Below are 17,214 nucleotides of genomic sequence, written 5' to 3'. Positions count from 1 at the left end.
GTCCGTAAAGAGTCTCGGATGAGTGTGCATGGGTGTTGACCTGTCTGGGTGTGGTGGGTTGAATTCTGAGTGAGTGTCCACCAGATGACAGGAGCTGTAGTTCATAGTGATCAGAGTTAGCTGCCGCTGTCACTGGGGCCTGGGAAATGTGAGAGAGGGAGCCCCACAGAATGACACCATTGCAGGTGGCAGGAGAAAGGCACCCCCACACACGACAGGCTACAGGGCACTAGGCAGGGCTCCCAGGAGCCTGGATTTGCCAAAACCAGCAGTTCTGGAAGAAAGCAATGGGTCAGGTGCTGTCCAGAAGCTAACATCCAGGGCCACGTGGCGCACCATGGAGGGGCTGCTGGTGGCCTTGGCAGAGCAGCTTTGATGCGATGGAGGGCAGGGCTGGACCACACCAGGTAAAGGAGTGGACGGCACGTGCGCAGGGGAGCGCAGGTGTGGCTGTGGTTTTCAGACACCAGTGGGTGTCCCTGTGGGGAACTTGATAATCAAATCCTAATGACTGGGCCCACCCCCAGGGCTCCTGAGTCAGTAATTGGGGTATTGAAGTTGGGGGTATAAAAGCCTCAGCCCTGCTGCTGCTCCCACTTTGAGAGCAGGAGTAGATCACTCTCGCAGGATGTTTGGTAAAGAGGAGAGAAGATGGGATGGTAGGTAGAGGGGAGTGTGGATCTAGGACCTTGAGGAGGTTACCAGGCAGATGTGGAAGGACCTAGATACTGGGGATGGCAGGCCCAGGACAGGGCCCTCCGTGAGGGAAGCCCCTGGGAAGGCAGAGGGGAGGCTGACCGAGGGTGCAATGGGAAGCTCCATGCTGTAGCCAGCAGGGGCACCGGGCAGGGCGGCAGATGGACCCGGAAACCCCTGAAGGCGGCAGGGGTGTGTGGTTCCCCATGGCTGCCTTGTGGCGCGGGGGCAGCTCTGTCCCCTTCACCGCCTCTGCTCAGTGACCCTGCCTGCTGCCATCACAATTCCGGCTCTGCACTGGGACTGGCTCTGAGCCTGCTTCCCGGTTCTCCCTGCCCCTTGGACCCCTCTGCCTCCTGACGACAGGAACCCCTGTCCGTGGAGCCCAGACCCTGGCTTCCCGAGGGCCCTGCCTGCTGGAAGTAGCTTCTGGACCTGGGTGTGCCATTCAATGTCTGACCTCACAGCGGCCCCCGGAAGGAATGGGTTCCTGTTGTGTTCACAGTTTTACTGTTTTCTCTGAAGAATAGAATATATTGGAAGGGATCTGGCTGGTTCTGAAACCAATGCGACACCCTTCTCCAGAACTCTGGGGAATTCTCTCAGTTGAGATCTCTTTCTCAGAACTGCGGTGAGAACAGCTGAAAGGTCAGAGGCTGATCTCGAATTAGCATGTGTTGGCTCGGAGACCCCCAGCTCCCAGTGCTGGCAGGGGCACAGCACGACCGCCTGCAGGGCCTGTCCCTGGGCGCCCGCCTGGCAGCAGGGCAGCATCTGGTGATGAAGGGGCCGCTAGAGCCCTCGGGCCCACTGTCTTTGACCCCATGGCCTGGGAGCACTTTTCAATTCACGGCCGTGTCTGGGAGTCTGGAAGTCAAAGAAACCCATTACCGTCCACAGAGGGAAGGCCGTGCCGCCAGCTGCACCACCAGCTGTCCCCTCCCCAGGCAGCAAGGCCCCTCTGACTAGACAGCAAGGAGCACCCCTTCACAGCACGACCCCGCAGCCCGGGCGAGGCAGGGTCAGTAGTGCTCCTCCTTGTTAGGACAAATGGCGTAGAAAGTGCCCTCGGCCTCAGTTTGGATAAAGAGAGGAGGCTGCAGAAGGCGGGCTCTGTCGGGGAGGAGCTGACTCTGGGGCGGGGCAGGGGGTGTGCTGGGGAAGAGGTTTAACCCAAGAGGGGGCGGCCTCCACGAGGGTGGGCTCCGTGAGCACTCGCATGGGTGACGGGCCGTGCACACTTCCCTTCCGGCTTAGGTCAGATGCCATTCTCTTTCCTGTGGTTTGAGGCTGTACTCTTCAGCCAGTGTTCAAGGAGTGAGTTTCTTTTGATAGCAGGAAAGTGATTGAGAAATTACCAGTTTGATCTTCTTGTCTGGGTGGCAAGCGTATGGTTCAGGGGCCACTGACGACGGTGGCCCTCCAGAGGATGTAGGACAGAATCCCCCTGTCGTGGCACTCTCGCACTCTCACATGGAGACCGGACAGACACGAACTCCTTTGAGGCTTCTGCAGAGGAATCGGGCCTGGTGATCTGGGTGGGCTGGGGTGCGTGTAGAGGGGGAGGTGATATGGGGGGGCTTGTCGGGCTGGGGTGTGTGAAGGAGGGGGAGGTGGTGCAGGTGAAGGTCACAGCACCAGCTAAGGCGCATGGCAGGACAGCCTGGAGCCTGGCTGTGGGAGCTTCAGCACCCCAGGGCTGAAATCATTTGGGCAGATATTTTATGGCTTTGGATGTCAAACTGTAGAAGTGCCCTTGAGGAGTTTGGCGTCTTGGGTGCGACCCAGTGATGCTTTAGGAGTTTAATTTGGTGGCAGCATGCCAGGTGGAAGGGAACCTGAGTGCGAGACAAGGAGTTGTGAGAAGGGAGAGGGACCAGCAGAGTCCAGGAGCAGCACCAGGTCCTGACACTTACGATCCACATAAAATCTGTTAGCAAAGTGTCTTCAAAGTTTGCCTTGAGCCACCAGCCTAAAATTTTAACTCACATTTTCCATAATCGCTGGAATTGCCCCAAACGAAGAGCTCTTCATAAATCTGTTTCTAATGGTTGGCCTCACCCAGGAGTGGGAAACTACAGAATGGGGCAGAATTTCCATGCAAGTGTCTTAGCTTCATACAATTTGAATTATTTGTTGAAAAGCCAACTTATTTTCCAGTTACGATGACTGTTCAGAATAGCACATCTGCAAACCAGTAAGACCCAGGTGAAGTGATTCCCACAGCGTCTCCTGTCAACAGCCCTCTCCCCGCTCTCCTTCTGTAAGGAGCTGTGTTTATGAGCTTCCTCACTGAACTCAAATTTCAACTTAAATTCTATGCCACAAATATATTTCTTCCCCACCCTTTTCTACTGCTGTTATAGTTCATCAAAAATGCTGTATGAAAGGAAGTGCTATTTTCCCCATGGCTTAGCGTGGCAAGGTGGCTTCTGACATCAGGGAAGGGCCACATTTAAATTAAACTCTTGACACTCTGCTTGCGAGAGGTGATAGATAGGCTCCCAGGAGCTGCCTCCTCTGGAAACCAAATCTGACCGGGAGCCAGAAGGAAGTGAATGATGCTTCTGCACAACATGAAGTGAATCCAGTTTCCTCCTGACCTTGTCCCACTGTATATTTTCTTTCTCTTGTTTTATTTATATTTCTTTATTACCAGAAGATTTTCTTTTAGACAGCGGAGTTCTAAGTTAACCACCCGTCTACGATCCAAAAGAAAAGCAAGTCCGAGAGAGGGTTAGATACGGGAGGGGAGACACAGGATGAAACAAACCGTTAGGACATTGTTCGCTCTTTGTGATTCAGTGGAAGGTTCTGGACAGAGATTTCCAGGACTGGTTATTGGCACATAATGACTTCAGTGAAAAAGCAGGTGGGTGCTGATGGTGGGGTGAATTCTCCCTCACCGATTCCCTCCCAGCAGAATGAGAGGGCTAAGGAAGAAAAATAGTATGGACCGTATTATGCGAAAGCATCTTAGTGAGATCAAAGGACGCACTTGGGCAGCTCTCCGTCTTCTCTTTGTCTCGGAACCACCTCTCGAGCCCCACGCTGTGGGGGCAGCTCACACCCTTTGTGTGGGTGGGAAGGCTGCAGCCCCAGCCCCCGCCCTGGTGTCAGCCTGGTTGAAGAGGAGAGATGAAGGAGACCAGCTATCTGATTGAAGTGGCGGGAGATAAGGGAGGCAGAAATGTAATTACCTGAGCTGGAATCAGAGCAAGTCGCAGGAGCCCCCCTCACCTTCCCAGTCTCCTCTGGAGCTCATTATTTGCAAGTGTATCCCCAAAGCAATTCTGAAATAACACAGGGATTCAAAAAATTGTTTTCTGAGGTAGCATGGGGTGCATGGGGGTGCTCATGCAACATGTGTGTAGCTGGCATCACATCCAAACATCGCATCCGGGAGGCCCTGATGCCCTCTGAGGTGGAAACCATGGCCCACGCAGAATGGGCAAAATGAAGATGGGGCAGAGAGCAGAGGAGGTATAGCCTTCCCCTTATTCTGAGGCCTCTCCAGGCGGAATCAGAGTATATCCAAGAAGAAAGCTGAAAAAAGCAGGGCGTGGTAGCTCATGCCTATAATCCCAGCTACTCAGAAGGCTGAGGCCTGAGGATCGCTTAACCCCAGGAGTTCGAGTCTGCAGTGAGCTATGATTGCACCACTGGACTCCAGCCTGGGCCATGGAGCGAGACCTTGTCTCTAAAATGTATAAATAAAGAAAAGAAAAAGAAATCGAAAGCCACAAAAGCTCGATGACTGTGCAACTCGTAGGCTCAGGTGGCTCTGTGGCCCTGCCAGGCTCTCTGATTGCAAAAGTTCAGAAAAATAGGCTTTCGGCCAGGGGCGGTGGCTCACACCTTGTAATCCCAGCACTTTGGGAGGCCAAAGCAGGCGGATCGCCTGAGGTCAGGAGTTTGAGACCAGCCTGGCCAAGATGGCAAAACCCCATCTCTACTAAAAATACAAAAAACTAGCTGGGCACGGTGGTGGACACCTGTAATCCCAGCTACTCAGGAGGCTGAAGCAGGAGAATCGCTTGAATCCGGGCAGCGGATGTTGCAGTGAGCTGAGATCGTGCCATTGCACTCCAGCCTGGGTGACAGAGCAAGACTCCGTCTCAAAAAAAGAAAAAAGAAAACTAGACTTTGGCCTTGGCAAGGGCAACTTGAACCCTCACACCCCACCTCATAAATGTAGGGGAGAAGAGTGGAGGTGTGGATGAACGTCTCTCAGCGCTTCCCACCAGGAGACAAGTTTAAGCGCCTACACTACTGGAGGCTGCTGTGCTGCGTTCCCACGGACCAGCCGCCTTGACGCTTTCTGTTTCTTACTGTAGGTTACAAGTATAGGTCAGCAGGTGGCCGAGTCCAGCTCCGGGGACCCAAACACCAGTGCTGGCTTCAGCACTCCAGGTAAGCTTACCTCTTTCAGCTCCTGAAGTGGGGTGTTCCTGTTTTCAAGGGTGTCTCTTTTTCGTCCTCGTCCTATTCTCTTCTCTTCTCTTCTCTTTTTCCTCCTCCTCCCTCCATTTCTTACTCTTTAAGAGGGTGGAGTTTGCAGCAGTCTTTCCCATTAAATACCCTGTATATCCCCACATTTCTTCCTGTGTCTGCATCCACTACAGTCAGCATATGCAGGAGATCTCCTGCGCTCTCCGGGGAGACCTTGTCTTCCTCTGCCCCACTTTCTCACTTGAGGGATATGGATTTGAAGAAGAGCACGACTCCATCTAGGGTCCCCTTTCCAGAGCCAAAGTTGTACCTACCGGGCAAATGTCCACACGGCACCTCCCTCTGAAGAAGGTGGCTGGGCTGGGCGGCTGGCAGGAGGGTGCAGGCTGGAAGTCATGTCCTTGAGGGCATTGAAGGACACGTGTGCAAGGGTCAAATCCCCAGACACAGAGGGTGGGTGTCGCGTGCAGAGCCGGGGCGGGGGAGGTGGTCTAAGGCTCCAGGAAAGCAGAAGGGCCCTTAGCAGCAGAGGGAGAAAGGGCACGGAGGCCAAGTGAGCCAGAGAGCCACCGTCTTGAGGCCCCTGCGAGGGGTCACATGGGCTGGCTTATTTGGAGAACAAAGTTAGATAACTCATGTGATCCCACAGAGGGCCAGGATGATCGCCCCAGGGCGCTCTGTCCCCTGCTGAACACTCACTCAGCATCTAAGAGAAACAGGAAGGAGCCATCTTTCTGAGGCCACCGGGGGTTGTAGAGCGCAGCATCTTTGCAGTCGTGGGATTTGGAAGCAATCTTTTCCTTCCTTTGGTCACTCCAAGCCATCAGAGGCTGTTCAAGAAGGTATTCAGTGACTTTCCCACGGCCAACCCAGGGTACAGTGTATCTCAGTCACTGTCACAGGGCGGCCACACCTGCAGCATTCCAGGGTTTGGGCTGAAGGGGGCTGGTGCTACCTGAGCCCCTTCCTGTTTCCCATCTCAGGGCAGGTGGAAATAGACAGGGGTGCTCCTCACCCAGAATTCAGCAGGGCTGGATCTTCCTCCCTCCTGGGACCTGGGCGGTGAACTCTACAGCTGACCCAGGGACCAGCAGAGCTTCCAGCACCGAGGCTTCTGCTGGGGTACAGGGGTCAGGACTCTCCTGAGTAGAGGACCACCTTGGTGGCTGTGTGACCCTCAACCCTTCCCTGTCTAAGCCCATTTCTGCAGCTGTAGGGTGGGGGTAACCTGGGGCTGCCTCACAGACGGACAGGAAGGATGAAGTGGGAGGTGGCCTGAAAAGCCTGTTGCCCATGGGCAGGCTCACAGACGCAGGGAAAAACAGAAAGGGATGGCAGGAACAGACCCAAAGCCCCCACGCCTGGAGGAGTCCAGGCTTCTGTGATCTATGAAGTGTCCCCCATGCAGGCAACTCCACTGTGGCGCCAGGAGGGGGCTCTGAGGGCACCTGGTGATGGGAGGGGAGAGTGCAGGAGCAGCTTATCACACTGTCACATGCATGCACACCCCGTGGAGATGGTATTAAAACAGACTCCGATCCAGCCCCCGTAGAGTGGTTCCCGGCAAGAGCCCAGCCCTGACCAGCATCCCGGTCCAGACCAGCAGTTCTTACAGTTTGGAGGGCATCAGAATTCCCTGGAGGGCTCGCTTCAACCCCGGTGGCTGGGCCCAGCGCCAGAGTCTCTGCTTCCATGGGTCTGGGGTCCAGCTGAGAGTCTGCATTCCCCGCTTGTTCCCAGGGCAAGGCTGCTGCTGCTGCTGGCGTGGCGTCCACACCCTGAGAGCCAAGGCCAGTGTCTGGTGGGCGGAGTTTATCCCACCTGCCTGCACCACCCTGTCTGGCTGCACTCCAGGCCCGGGGCTGCACCCCTGCAAGGGCGGGCCTGAGATCTGGCCTGCCGCGACCTGGTGGGGATGCCTTGATGTCCCTTGGGGCTGCTGTGTACCCCTGCACTGGCCCTGTTCACCCAGACCAAAGCGTCTTGTGACCAAAGTGTCTGATTTCTGACTTTTAGTCTCTTGTGTAGTGTGAAGGGTCTAAGCCCCCGAACCATGCCATTCCTGGAATGATTTCTGGGAGCTCATCTGGTGCCCCCAACTTTCAACAGCATAAAGCAGCATTTGTCAATCTTATCCAGTGTTTCCGCACCCCCAGGGTTTCAGAGTTCATCTAGGTCTGGAGTTTGAGGGGCAGGCCTGTCCCACGCCAGCGTCCCCTGCGGCCGCCCACTCTAATGCCATGTCCCTTCTCTTGCAGTACCAGCTGACAGCACAAGCCTCCTGGTGTCCGAGGGCACTGCTACGCCAGGTTCCAGCCCATCCCCCGATGGCCCTGTGGGCGCCCCAGCACCCTCCGAACCTGCCCTTCCCCCTGGCCATGTGTCTCCAGAGGATCCTGGCATGGGCTCACAGGTGCAGCCAGGTCCCGGGCGTGTGTCCCGCTCCACCAGCGACCCCACCTTGTGCACATCTAGCATGGCAGGTAGGTTGGCCAGGCTCACCCATGTCCCCAGAGTGTGGCCAGCTTTCCTTGGATGCTGCAGGTCTCAGTGACCCCTGAGAGTGGAGGCCCGGCCCTGCAGATCCTGTCTGGGGCCACACTGGGAATGTGGTCTTGATGGCCCCTGAGCCAGGGGTGGGTGGGGAGCAGCCTGTGGGCCCCTCTGCACCCCACCAGGCTTGTCACTCTGGCAGGGGAGGAAGGATTCAAGGGGCCCGGGGCCCAGTCCAGGACATTAGCTATAAGTGCTGCACACGTGCTCCAGGGCCCAGAAAAGGCCTAGAGTCTGGCACAGGACAGATGACCCCCAACGATAGCTCTGGGCATGGGGGTGTCATCAGCTGGAGCCGCCCCACGCAGACACAGGTGCGTTTTCAGCAGCATTTCCCAGGCAGCTTGGCTCTCCACACAGCCCAGAGCTTTCAAAAATCGCCCCATGCGACTGTGTCTGCGGGCAGTGCCCTGGAGCCTAGGACCTGGCACCAGGTCCCTGTGGCCAGCAGCGCAGGAATTTGCATTTCACAGTAGCTCCCCGGGAGTCTTGGGCACCCCCGGCGCTGGAGAACTCACACCCAGTCCTCATCACTGTCTTTTGAGAGGAGGCACAGTTTCTGCCAATAAAGATTGGTGGGCCTTTGACCTCCATGCCATTGCTGTGGGGACTTTTCATGAAGTGGAAGTGCAGGAACCCTGAAGAGGGCGCAGTGGGTCCTGGCTCAGTCTCCCCTCGATGGTCTTGCCCAGCTGATCTCTACTGGAGCCCGGAACCGAGTCCCTGAAAGGAACCAGAGCCCGCAGTGGCCAGTTGCCTGGAGGTACCCTCCTGGTGGAAATACCAGGTTTGGCACATGTGGACTCCCTGGCTGCGGTCATCTCTGTATTCCTCCTTCCTGCATCCCATTGCCAGCTCACAGGGAGAGAGTCCCGTCAAACCTTCTGAAACACCCCCCTCTGCTGGTTTCTTGAGCTCCGGAACCTCTCTCCACCATGCTCACATTCACTCACTGAGGTTTGGAGGAGGATGCCCTGTACTTGGAGGGGCTCATGGGTCCACTCTGTGGCCCCCTGATGGCTTTGTTGGGCCTGTCCCTCTCAGTGAAATTCACACCTCGGCACCCACACACCCGCCTGACGCCTCTGTCCCCTCTTGGCTAGGCTGATGTGCACGCCGCAGGCACATGCCTTCCAGGGTGCCTGGAGCCCTTCAGGTGAGGGTGGGAATTCCCATGAAGGGTGCTGGGCTTTCTTTGAGCCACTGGCCCATTGCACTGTGTCAGGGTGGGACCTGGGACACCACTTGACCCACGGCAGGCCTGGCCAGCTGCAGGGCGGTTCCTGTCTGATCTGCCGCTCGGTGGGTGTCAGCTCAGCAGGCTTCTCCTGCTTGCTCGCCATCTAAAATGTCTTAGTCACAGGCGGGTTATGATAGCTTTCTCAGGAATTCCTTTTTCCTTTCATGTGTTCACTGAATTCTCCTTCTGGTTAAGGCGATGCCTCTTCACACAGGCCGTCGTGTAGCCAGGACCTGGAAGCGGGACTGTCTGAGGCTGTGCCTGGGAGCGGTGAGACGCTTCTTTTCTAAAGCGCTTTGACTGCGCCTGCTGGGAGGTGGGGCGGGTGTTGGTGGGTCCTTGGCTACATTGTTTCCAAATGCAGCTCCTCACCCCACCCCCGGGAATGGGGGCTGCCCACTGTCTGGCTTTGAGGGCCTTTCTCTTCCTTTGTCTCTCGGTGCACTTATATCCAGGGCTAGCACTAATTTAACACACCTGTGACTGCTCAGCCCACTTTATGAGATTTCATCTGGGGTAGATGGGCCCCACCTGGGAGTTTCTTAATTTCTCATGTTTAATTGCTAGGCTTTCCAGTTGCCACCAAACAAGACACCAGAACAGACGACCCAGAATGTTCCAACTTTGTGTGGCGTGAAGCTCAGGCTGGGCAAGCCGGGCCTTCGCTGGTCCTTGTTGGCGTCCCTCGCCACTGACAGCCCGGAGCTGGCCGTCTTACAGGGACCCTCAGCCCAGTGTCCAGCCTGTGGGTCATGCAGAGAGGCTGTCAGCTCTGTGGGGAGCTGGAGCCAGGTCCCCAGCCTCTGGCCTGGCAGGCAGTGGAGCAGGGCACTGAGTGGTGGCTGCCTGCACCTGGCATGATGGGGGGGGCGGTCTCATGTTCCCTCTGCCACCCCCAGTTCTGGTCTTAAGGCAGACCCTGTCTCTAGATGCCATGATTCTGCCCCAGCAAGAGATCAGACCCAAAGGGGCAAAGGTCGTGGAGGCGAGAAGACTGGGAAGGACCAGCCCCTGTGCCCTTGGGATTCTAGCAGAGGGCAGAAGTGGGTCGCTGCCTGCTGTGGTGGCCCTTCCCCCCAGGCCTTCGCTCCTGGAGGCTGCAGCCCCTGGAGGTTGACACTAGTTCAGTTTGGGGTTGAGAAGGGGAGGAGGGATGGGGACAGCAGGGCATGCCCAGAGCGCCAGCCCCAGGAACACAGAAACCCCAGCAGGAGGCTCCTCCCGAGCAGGCTTTTCTTTGCTTTTGAGTTAACTTCTTATTTCAGTGAGTTTTGAACTGCACTTTTGCCCTTGATTTTTAGCTTCCATGTCTCGCTCTGCCACGGCTGCCTGTCGGGCCCAGCTTTCACCAGCGGGGGACCCAGATACCTGGAAAACTGACCAACGGCCAACACCAGAGCCCTTCCCAGCGACCTCCAAAGAGCGGCCACGCTCTTTAGTGGACAGCAAGGCCTATGCGGATGCCAGGGTTTTGGTGGCCAAGTTTTTGGAACACTCACACTGTGCCCTCCCCACCGAGGCACAGCACATGGTGGGTGCCATGCGCTTGGCTGTCACCAACGAGGAGCGCCTCGAGGAGGAGGCCGTCTTCGGCGCTGACGTTCTGGACCAGGTATGAAGGAGCCACATTTCTGACCGTGGACACCAACGCCTGGCGCCACAGATGTTCTTGGCAGAAGCCATCATGCCTGACAAAGAGGCCTTCAGGCCCAGCTTGGCGGAGGATAAATGTGGGGGGGACACCCAGGATGATCTGGGGGCGGTGTGGGCAGGGAACTGTTACCCCCTCTCTCGAGGGGAGCCGAGCAGTGTCTCTTTGGGGATTGCATTTCCTGCCTAGCCCAGTAATTCGGAAAGATGACTTTCACGTCCACAGTGAACTCTCTGGTTTTATCTGGCGTGCAGCACCTTGAACTGAGCAGTGTTGCACAAATGTGAATACAGCAACAGGCGACACTTACGTCACCTAAAGACTCAAAGTATCTCCAAAATCAGGGCCTTCCAAAGCAGGAGTCTCCCATCCCCCATTTAACTTAGTGTTCAGTGGACAGAGGGTGACATCGAGTCATGAAACATTTTCTCATGTGGCTCGATGGCTCTATCATTAGGCGTTCATCACGCTCTGGCCTATTTCCTGTGAAAGGAAATAGGTAGTGTTAGCACAGATGGCAGCCTGGGCCCAACTTTCTGTCCACAGGGCTATTGTGCAAACAAATGTGCAGTGCGGGCCTCTGCCATAGCCCGGCCCCCCCCAGGGAACAGGCCGGTGTTGCGGGGGTTGGAGGAACCCACCATCTCCTGGGCCTTGAGCTCGGCCTCCCTCCGTGGGGTGCCTTCCCCCCCTCCTCTTGGGCCCCCTTTCTCCAGGCTCCCATCCTGTCCCTGGAGCAGTTGTGTGATCCGTAACAACAAGTGCCGATTCCCAGCTCCTTTGTGTCTGAGCTCACTTGATTGAGCTCAGCGGGTCACAGTTCTGCAGGAGAGAGGCCGGTTTCTCTGAGAAGTAGCCCCTCCTGATAAAGCAGGTCCCTTTGACCCAGAGCTGACCTTTCCCCGGGCATGCGGCAGCAGACACACCTGCGCAGGAGGATCATAAACCACTTACAAACCCACACGAGAAGGGAAGCAGACACCCAACGTGCTGCTTATGGAGAAGCAGACACGCCCAGCTTGGGGACAGCCTGGGGACCTTGGACTTTCTTAGCCCCCATCCCCTTGTTTTCTGGTGGCATCAGTGGCAGCTGCTCCCAACAATGGCCGTGGAACAGCGCCATCCACGAGAACTTTGTGCAGTGATGGAAATGCCTGTTCAGGGCCACTAGCAGCCACAGCCCCTGAGCTGCGTTGGGTGGGCCCTGCGGTGAACAAAACAGCCTAGAGGCCAAGGTCTCCCCAGAGAGCCCATGAGCCTGGCATGGGGGCGCAGGGGGACCAGAGGGTGTCTTCCACTCCTGGGTGCCAGGGCAGGGGGCTCACGCTGCTGTTCCCTCGGCTTTGTGGGGCTTGTCCTTGAGCTCCCCCAATTCCCTAATGCCACTGTGGCCAGTGTGCTGGGGAGCTTCTGTGTGGCTGGAAGCTGGGAAGGGGGTGAGGTTCCAATCCAGGTGCCCAGAGCCTTCCTCCAGTCCTTTATCCCTGCCCTGGGGGCTGCGGTGTGGGACTCCTTCAGCTGTGGTCGGCTGAAAAGGCTTCGATTGCTTTAGAGAGCTGAAAACACATAAGCCAGGCCTTTTGATGACAACCTGCACTTTTGCAGGAGAGACGTACTAGAGATGAATTTTTGAGCACTTTATTCAGACTATAAAACAGGAAATCTCTAATTTTCCTCAAGTGGGGGCTTTTGAATTCCCTCAAGGCAAGTCCCTTTGCAGGTGAAATTAATTGGTGGATTTTCAGAATGGCCGCCCTGGAGCCGAGCTTCAGCCACGCCTGACGCCCTGGCCTCTGAATCTCCACTGTCTCTGAGGTGCGCTGGGGCCACGCCGCAGGGGTTTCACCTGCTTGGGGGGGTCCACACTAGGGCTTGGGGGTTCACACAGCATTGTCCCTGGGCTGAGCCCTTGGGTGGGCTAGAGCTGCAGTCCTCAGACATGGCTGCAATTCCAGCGAGGCCAAGACCACCAGCCACCCAGTGGACTCGGTCTCTGGGGTGTTCTCCTCATGCAGCCGGGGCAGAGGCCTACTGGACCCCCTCAGCCTGCTGCTCAGCATCCTTCCCTTCTCTGCAGCAGGGCCCGGTCCCAATGGCCAATGGGGCTGCTGCCCCAGCAGTGCCTCCCTGTAGGCCCCTCACCTGCACCCCACCTTCACCCAGCTCTGGGTTTGCGCTGGTGGCAGCTCTGTTTTGTGGATACGGAAACTGTACCCAACTTGATGCCGCTGGGCTGGAACCTTCTGCCCCTTCGAAATGAGGCAGTCAGGGACGGGGTGGGGTGCCCCCATCAGCCCCGCTGCTCAGGGCCACTCATGGACTCTAGGAGGGTCCAGGTTCTGGGCTTCCTGGGAAGGTCCCCAGAAGAGAGAGGTGCTGGTAGACTAGGGAATGTGCTGGCAACTTGACCCAGAAGCTGTGGTCCCCTTGGCCCCGGCTCCACGGCATCCGGGTACCAGCAGCAAGAGCCCAGGCCCCGGGCTGCACGTCAGCTCACAGCCCAGGAGAAAGCTGGCTGCTTCCCCTCCCTATGCGTCTTTCCCCCGCTCCAATCATGTTCCATCTGGGATCTGAAATGGGCCAACTGTGGCTGCTTTGGGGGTGACACGCTCCTTCTCCAACTCAGCTGGGCCCCGGGCATCCCCTGCCCTCCCCTGAGACCCAAAGGGGGTTGGCACCTGCTGTGACACCACCGTTGACCCCAGCCTGGGGGCCACAAGGTTGCTGAGTGGGGAGAACATGGACCCCAACTCTATGGCAAGCAAGATCGCAGAAGGGGGAGCATCATCCGCAAGGACTTCAGGTCTCCCTTGGCTGGAGATGAGGATCCACATTAAATGCTTGTAACACACCAGGCCACAGAAAGCTCGCTACACACACATGCTTCTCCCCACCCATGCTGACTCTCAGAGGCTGCTAAGGCAGAATTTATAGGAAATTGTTTTCAAGCCACCAGAGACCTGTCTGTACAACTGGAAAGGCTGTATTTATTTAATGTACCTCAAGGTGTTTTAATAATGATCCGTGTTTTAATAAAAAGAAGTATTTCTGGCCTCTGTGTCTCTGAGGTCTAACTGGGACAGAGGCAGGCTGAGAGGCTGTGTACCCCAGTGGCCAGGGGCAGGGTCCTGAGAGGACCTTGCAGTAGCCAGCCGGGGAGCCTGGGATACCCATGCCACTCAGCTGTGCTTCCAGAAGCCTTCCGGAGAGGGTCAACTCCGGGGCAGAGTGGGGAGGGCCAGGGCCTGGACACACCCACGCCCGTCCACGCTGGCCATGGCAGCCCCTCCATGGACATGGCCTCCAAGGGCTGCTGGGAGGAATGCAGGCCATGGCTCAGATGTTTCCTTAAATACAGGTTTTTTAAAGATGTGTATGATTTGGTGGGAGTCCTGCCTGCATGTCCTCAGCTAGCCAGGGCTCTCTCCCCGGGACCTGCTTCCCCGCCTTGTCCTGGGCACGGCAGGAATGTCCCCCTTGGCCTCCTGAGTGGAATCCCGTTCCCTCCAGCTTTGACTCAGGCGACATTTCTCTTCATTCCCCAAGGATGTGGCCATCCCTGGCATTCTTGTTTGTTGGCCACGTCGAGAATTGTATTTGCTTTTCATTCTTTTTTTTTTTTTTTTTTTTTTTGCTAGAATTGTGAATTATTTTATTATTTTATTTTATTTTATTTATTTATTTATTTATTTTTAATTTTTTTTTTATTATACTCTAAGTTTTAGGGTACATGTGCACATTGTGCAGGTTAGTTACATATGTATACATGTGCCATGCTGGTGCGCTGCACCCACTAACGTGTCATCTAGCATTAGGTATATCTCCCAATGCTATCCCTCCCCCCTCCCCCGACCCCACCACAGTCCCCAGAGTGTGATATTCCCCTTCCTGTGTCCATGTGATCTCATTGTTCAATTCCCACCTATGAGTGAGAATATGCGGTGTTTGGTTTTTTGTTCTTGCGATAGTTTACTGAGAATGATGGTTTCCAATTTCATCCATGTCCCTACAAAGGACATGAACTCATCATTCTTAAGCATATTCATTCAGAGCGAGTGCATATACATTTCGGCATATACGCAGCTCTCTGTGACAGTCTCCTATGGAACAGCTTTCTTTGCCTCTACCATGTATACTTTCTGGGAAGAGGGAGGCACAAAGCTGGTGTGCGCCTTGAAAGGCCGTCTCTTTTATATGCCCCTGATGGCCAAGGTCATGCTGGAGCAAGCCCTTGGCCCACACCCTCTGGGCGGCTAGGTGAGAGTAAGTCTTCTCCTTACTCTGCAGTTCCCCAAGAATCCTGGGCCGTGAAGGTGGTCAGTGCCCACAGCAAGGAGCTCACGCTGCTGTGGGCAGGCCAGAGAGGAGGGCTCCTGCCCATCCAAGACCCACAGCCTAACCCAGCTGGACCCCAGGCCACCGCCTCTGAACAAAGCCCGTGCTTGCTACCTGGCTTTCCCACACCAGGTGACACCAGAACGGTGGCCATGAAGAAAGGTAAGTGCTGGCAGAGCTGCCAGAATTGTCACTCTAGACAGGCTGCAAAGGACCCACAGGTGCAGACAGGGTGCTGGGATGGGCGGTCCGGCTTTTACACACGCACACGCATGCACACCTTTCCCAGGGGCCATTTACGTTGAAATCTGAAGAAGCCCAAGGCTCCCTGGCTCCCTCATTCCATTAGTGAGTGCTCTGCGGACGTGTCTCCCTGCTGGGGCAAGTGGGTCAAGAACCTGGCGCTGACCCCGTGACCTGGTAGCATTGCTGGCACCTCCAGTTGCAGCGGGGCGTTGCCCAGCTGACACCTGGTGCCCAGAGCACCCACCCACCGAACTCATTAGTGACAGCTTCCAAGGTTCAGGATCCAGGAGGAGCACAGAGCAGCTGTGGCTGCCACCGCATAGTGAATTTGCAGAGCCGCATCCAAGCTGTGAATGAAAGGACAGGCGGGCACCCGCCGCTGAGGTAACAGACCAGTCACACACACGGCTTTTCATCACGACTTCAGGTTTATTAGTGATATGCGCGAAGTCTTCCTACGGGTAGCTGCATGCAACACACGGCACTCCTCGAATACAGTCATCCTAAAGCTTTAGTTACTGCGTGGTAAGGCTTCTTAAGTCACAGTGTATTCTTCAAGGCCTGGGCCAAAAAAAGAGACTTCGAGACAAGATGACGTCAGATTACATGGATCGCTAATGAACCGAGCTGGACTAGATCCGACTTGATCTACACACATGCCACTACTGCTCAGGGCCACTGCGCCACGCTGGCCAAGGGGTCTGCACTCACGGCTGGCTGCTTTAGGTGCGGCCAAGGTCGCGTTTTCTAGAGTGGGTTTCGTTTCCTCGGGGTCGCATGTGCGTGGATGTGTGTAGATCGATTTTAAAGAGGGGGCAGACACCTGTGCCCTCCTTGTCTCTGTGGGAGCCCTGCCCGGGTATGCAGCCGGGTGGGAGGGTGCCCAGAAGAGACGACGGGAGAGGCAGGTGTGGTCATTAGTCACATTGGAAAACCCTAGAGTCTGGAAAAAAGCCTGCCAAAATAAAAGTCCAAACAGTAATAATAGCATCTAAATAAATATGGAGTTTTCATGTTGTGGCCATCATCCTTTATTTACAATCAATCAATCAATCACATGTCCCCAAACTTTCATTACAAGTCGTGTCCTGGGAGCCAGGCTGCCCGTGTCCCTGCAGTCAGTGGCAGAGGCAGCTGTTTGGGACCATTGTGGGGGCCCCACAGGACCCCAGACGTCCCAGCCAAGGGGGCGGGAGGCAGGGGTGACGGCTGCCCTGCCCCGGGAGCCGCGTCCCTCGGAGGCGCCAGTTCGCTCCGCACAGCTTCAGGGAGGAAAGACACACACTCCACACCACGCACAGCTACCGAGACACACCCTGGCTTGTGCAGGGAGAAGACAGTCCAGAACGTGGCAAAATACTTGGAACGCTTTACAAACAAACATTTGTTCTGTGACTCTCCTTTGATAAAGACATACCCCTTTTTGGCAAAATGAAAAAAATCAAGTGGGTGGTGAGGGCACACCCTTTGGGGAGCCAGCGTCCGTGGCTGGGCTGTGGCGTCGGGGTCAAGTCTGCGGCCCGGCTCCCAGCTCCTCTGGGCCCGGGCGGCCCTGCCCGGTGTCCTGGCTGCGTGGCCAGGCTGGGGTGGCCTAGATGTACAGCGGGGTCTCCTGACCCGTGAGGAGCCTGAACATGGCGGCGGGCATGGTCTTCATGTGGATCTGCGGACAGAAACAGGAGGCTGAGCCGCTGCCCTCCCACCTCCCCTCCCACAATCAGGTGAAAGCAAAGGACAGAGGCAAACCCCCCAGAGTTCTGCTTCAAATGCCCATCTCCTAGAGTGAAGGAGGAAGGCCAGCCTGCCCAGGCCTGGGGACACTTATGATGCCTTCCAGATGCAGCAGACTGAGACTCCAGGTCCCCACCCCTGGCTCCAGAGGAGTCAATACAGTTGAGTGCTAGTTTTGCTTCCAGTCCAGCTGACACCCGAGGGGTGAGAAATTGGACTTCTAGTGGTGACAACAGTTTGCCCATCCACTGGGGCTGGCTGGGGGTGGCCAGGCCTCGGCAGAAACTGCGAGGGATGCACTCTGCTTCAC

At 56.2% G+C, this 17,214-nt stretch overlaps 2 protein-coding genes across 43 annotated transcripts in view, besides 1 other annotated feature; one reads left to right on the top strand and one right to left on the bottom strand.

Annotated features, from left to right (window-relative positions):
- The window catches only part of ENTREP2 (endosomal transmembrane epsin interactor 2), a 557,698-nt gene extending 541,512 nt beyond the window's left edge, over positions 1-16,186 (top strand). For 4 of the 7 annotated variants that reach the window (NM_001387216.1, NM_001387214.1, NM_015307.2 and 1 more), the window contains 4 exons: positions 5,034-5,109; positions 7,407-7,631; positions 9,137-9,211; positions 10,243-13,646. In NM_001387216.1, coding sequence (NP_001374145.1) covers positions 5,034-5,109; positions 7,407-7,631; positions 9,137-9,211; positions 10,243-10,559 — 693 coding nt within the window. In that variant the 3' untranslated portion in view covers positions 10,560-13,646. Of the gene's footprint in view, positions 1-5,033; positions 5,110-7,406; positions 7,632-9,136; positions 9,212-10,242; positions 13,647-14,879 lie in introns of those variants that run through there. The other 3 variants (NM_001387217.1, NM_001387215.1, XM_047432323.1) reach the window with 2 other exon arrangements.
- Positions 929-1,545: an enhancer, noted in NCBI's record as "H3K27ac-H3K4me1 hESC enhancer chr15:29424556-29425172 (GRCh37/hg19 assembly coordinates)". NCBI's record gives its function as "activates a minimal SCP1, AML or CMV promoter by ChIP-STARR-seq in primed H9 embryonic stem cells {active_cell/tissue: H9 hESC(primed)}" and the evidence as "EXISTENCE:reporter gene assay evidence [ECO:0000049][PMID:30033119]".
- The window catches only part of APBA2 (amyloid beta precursor protein binding family A member 2), a 232,342-nt gene continuing 230,710 nt past the window's right edge, over positions 15,583-17,214 (bottom strand). For all 36 annotated transcript variants that reach the window (NM_001379685.1, NM_001353790.2, XM_047432424.1 and 33 more), the window contains one exon: positions 15,583-16,836. In NM_001379685.1, coding sequence (NP_001366614.1) covers positions 16,765-16,836 — 72 coding nt within the window. In that variant the 3' untranslated portion in view covers positions 15,583-16,764. The remainder of the gene's footprint in view (positions 16,837-17,214) is intronic.

This window comes from Homo sapiens, chromosome 15 (genome assembly GCF_000001405.40).
Source record: "Homo sapiens chromosome 15, GRCh38.p14 Primary Assembly".
NCBI classification, from domain to species: domain Eukaryota; kingdom Metazoa; phylum Chordata; class Mammalia; order Primates; family Hominidae; genus Homo; species Homo sapiens.
This window is presented reverse-complemented; position numbering and strand designations above follow the sequence as displayed.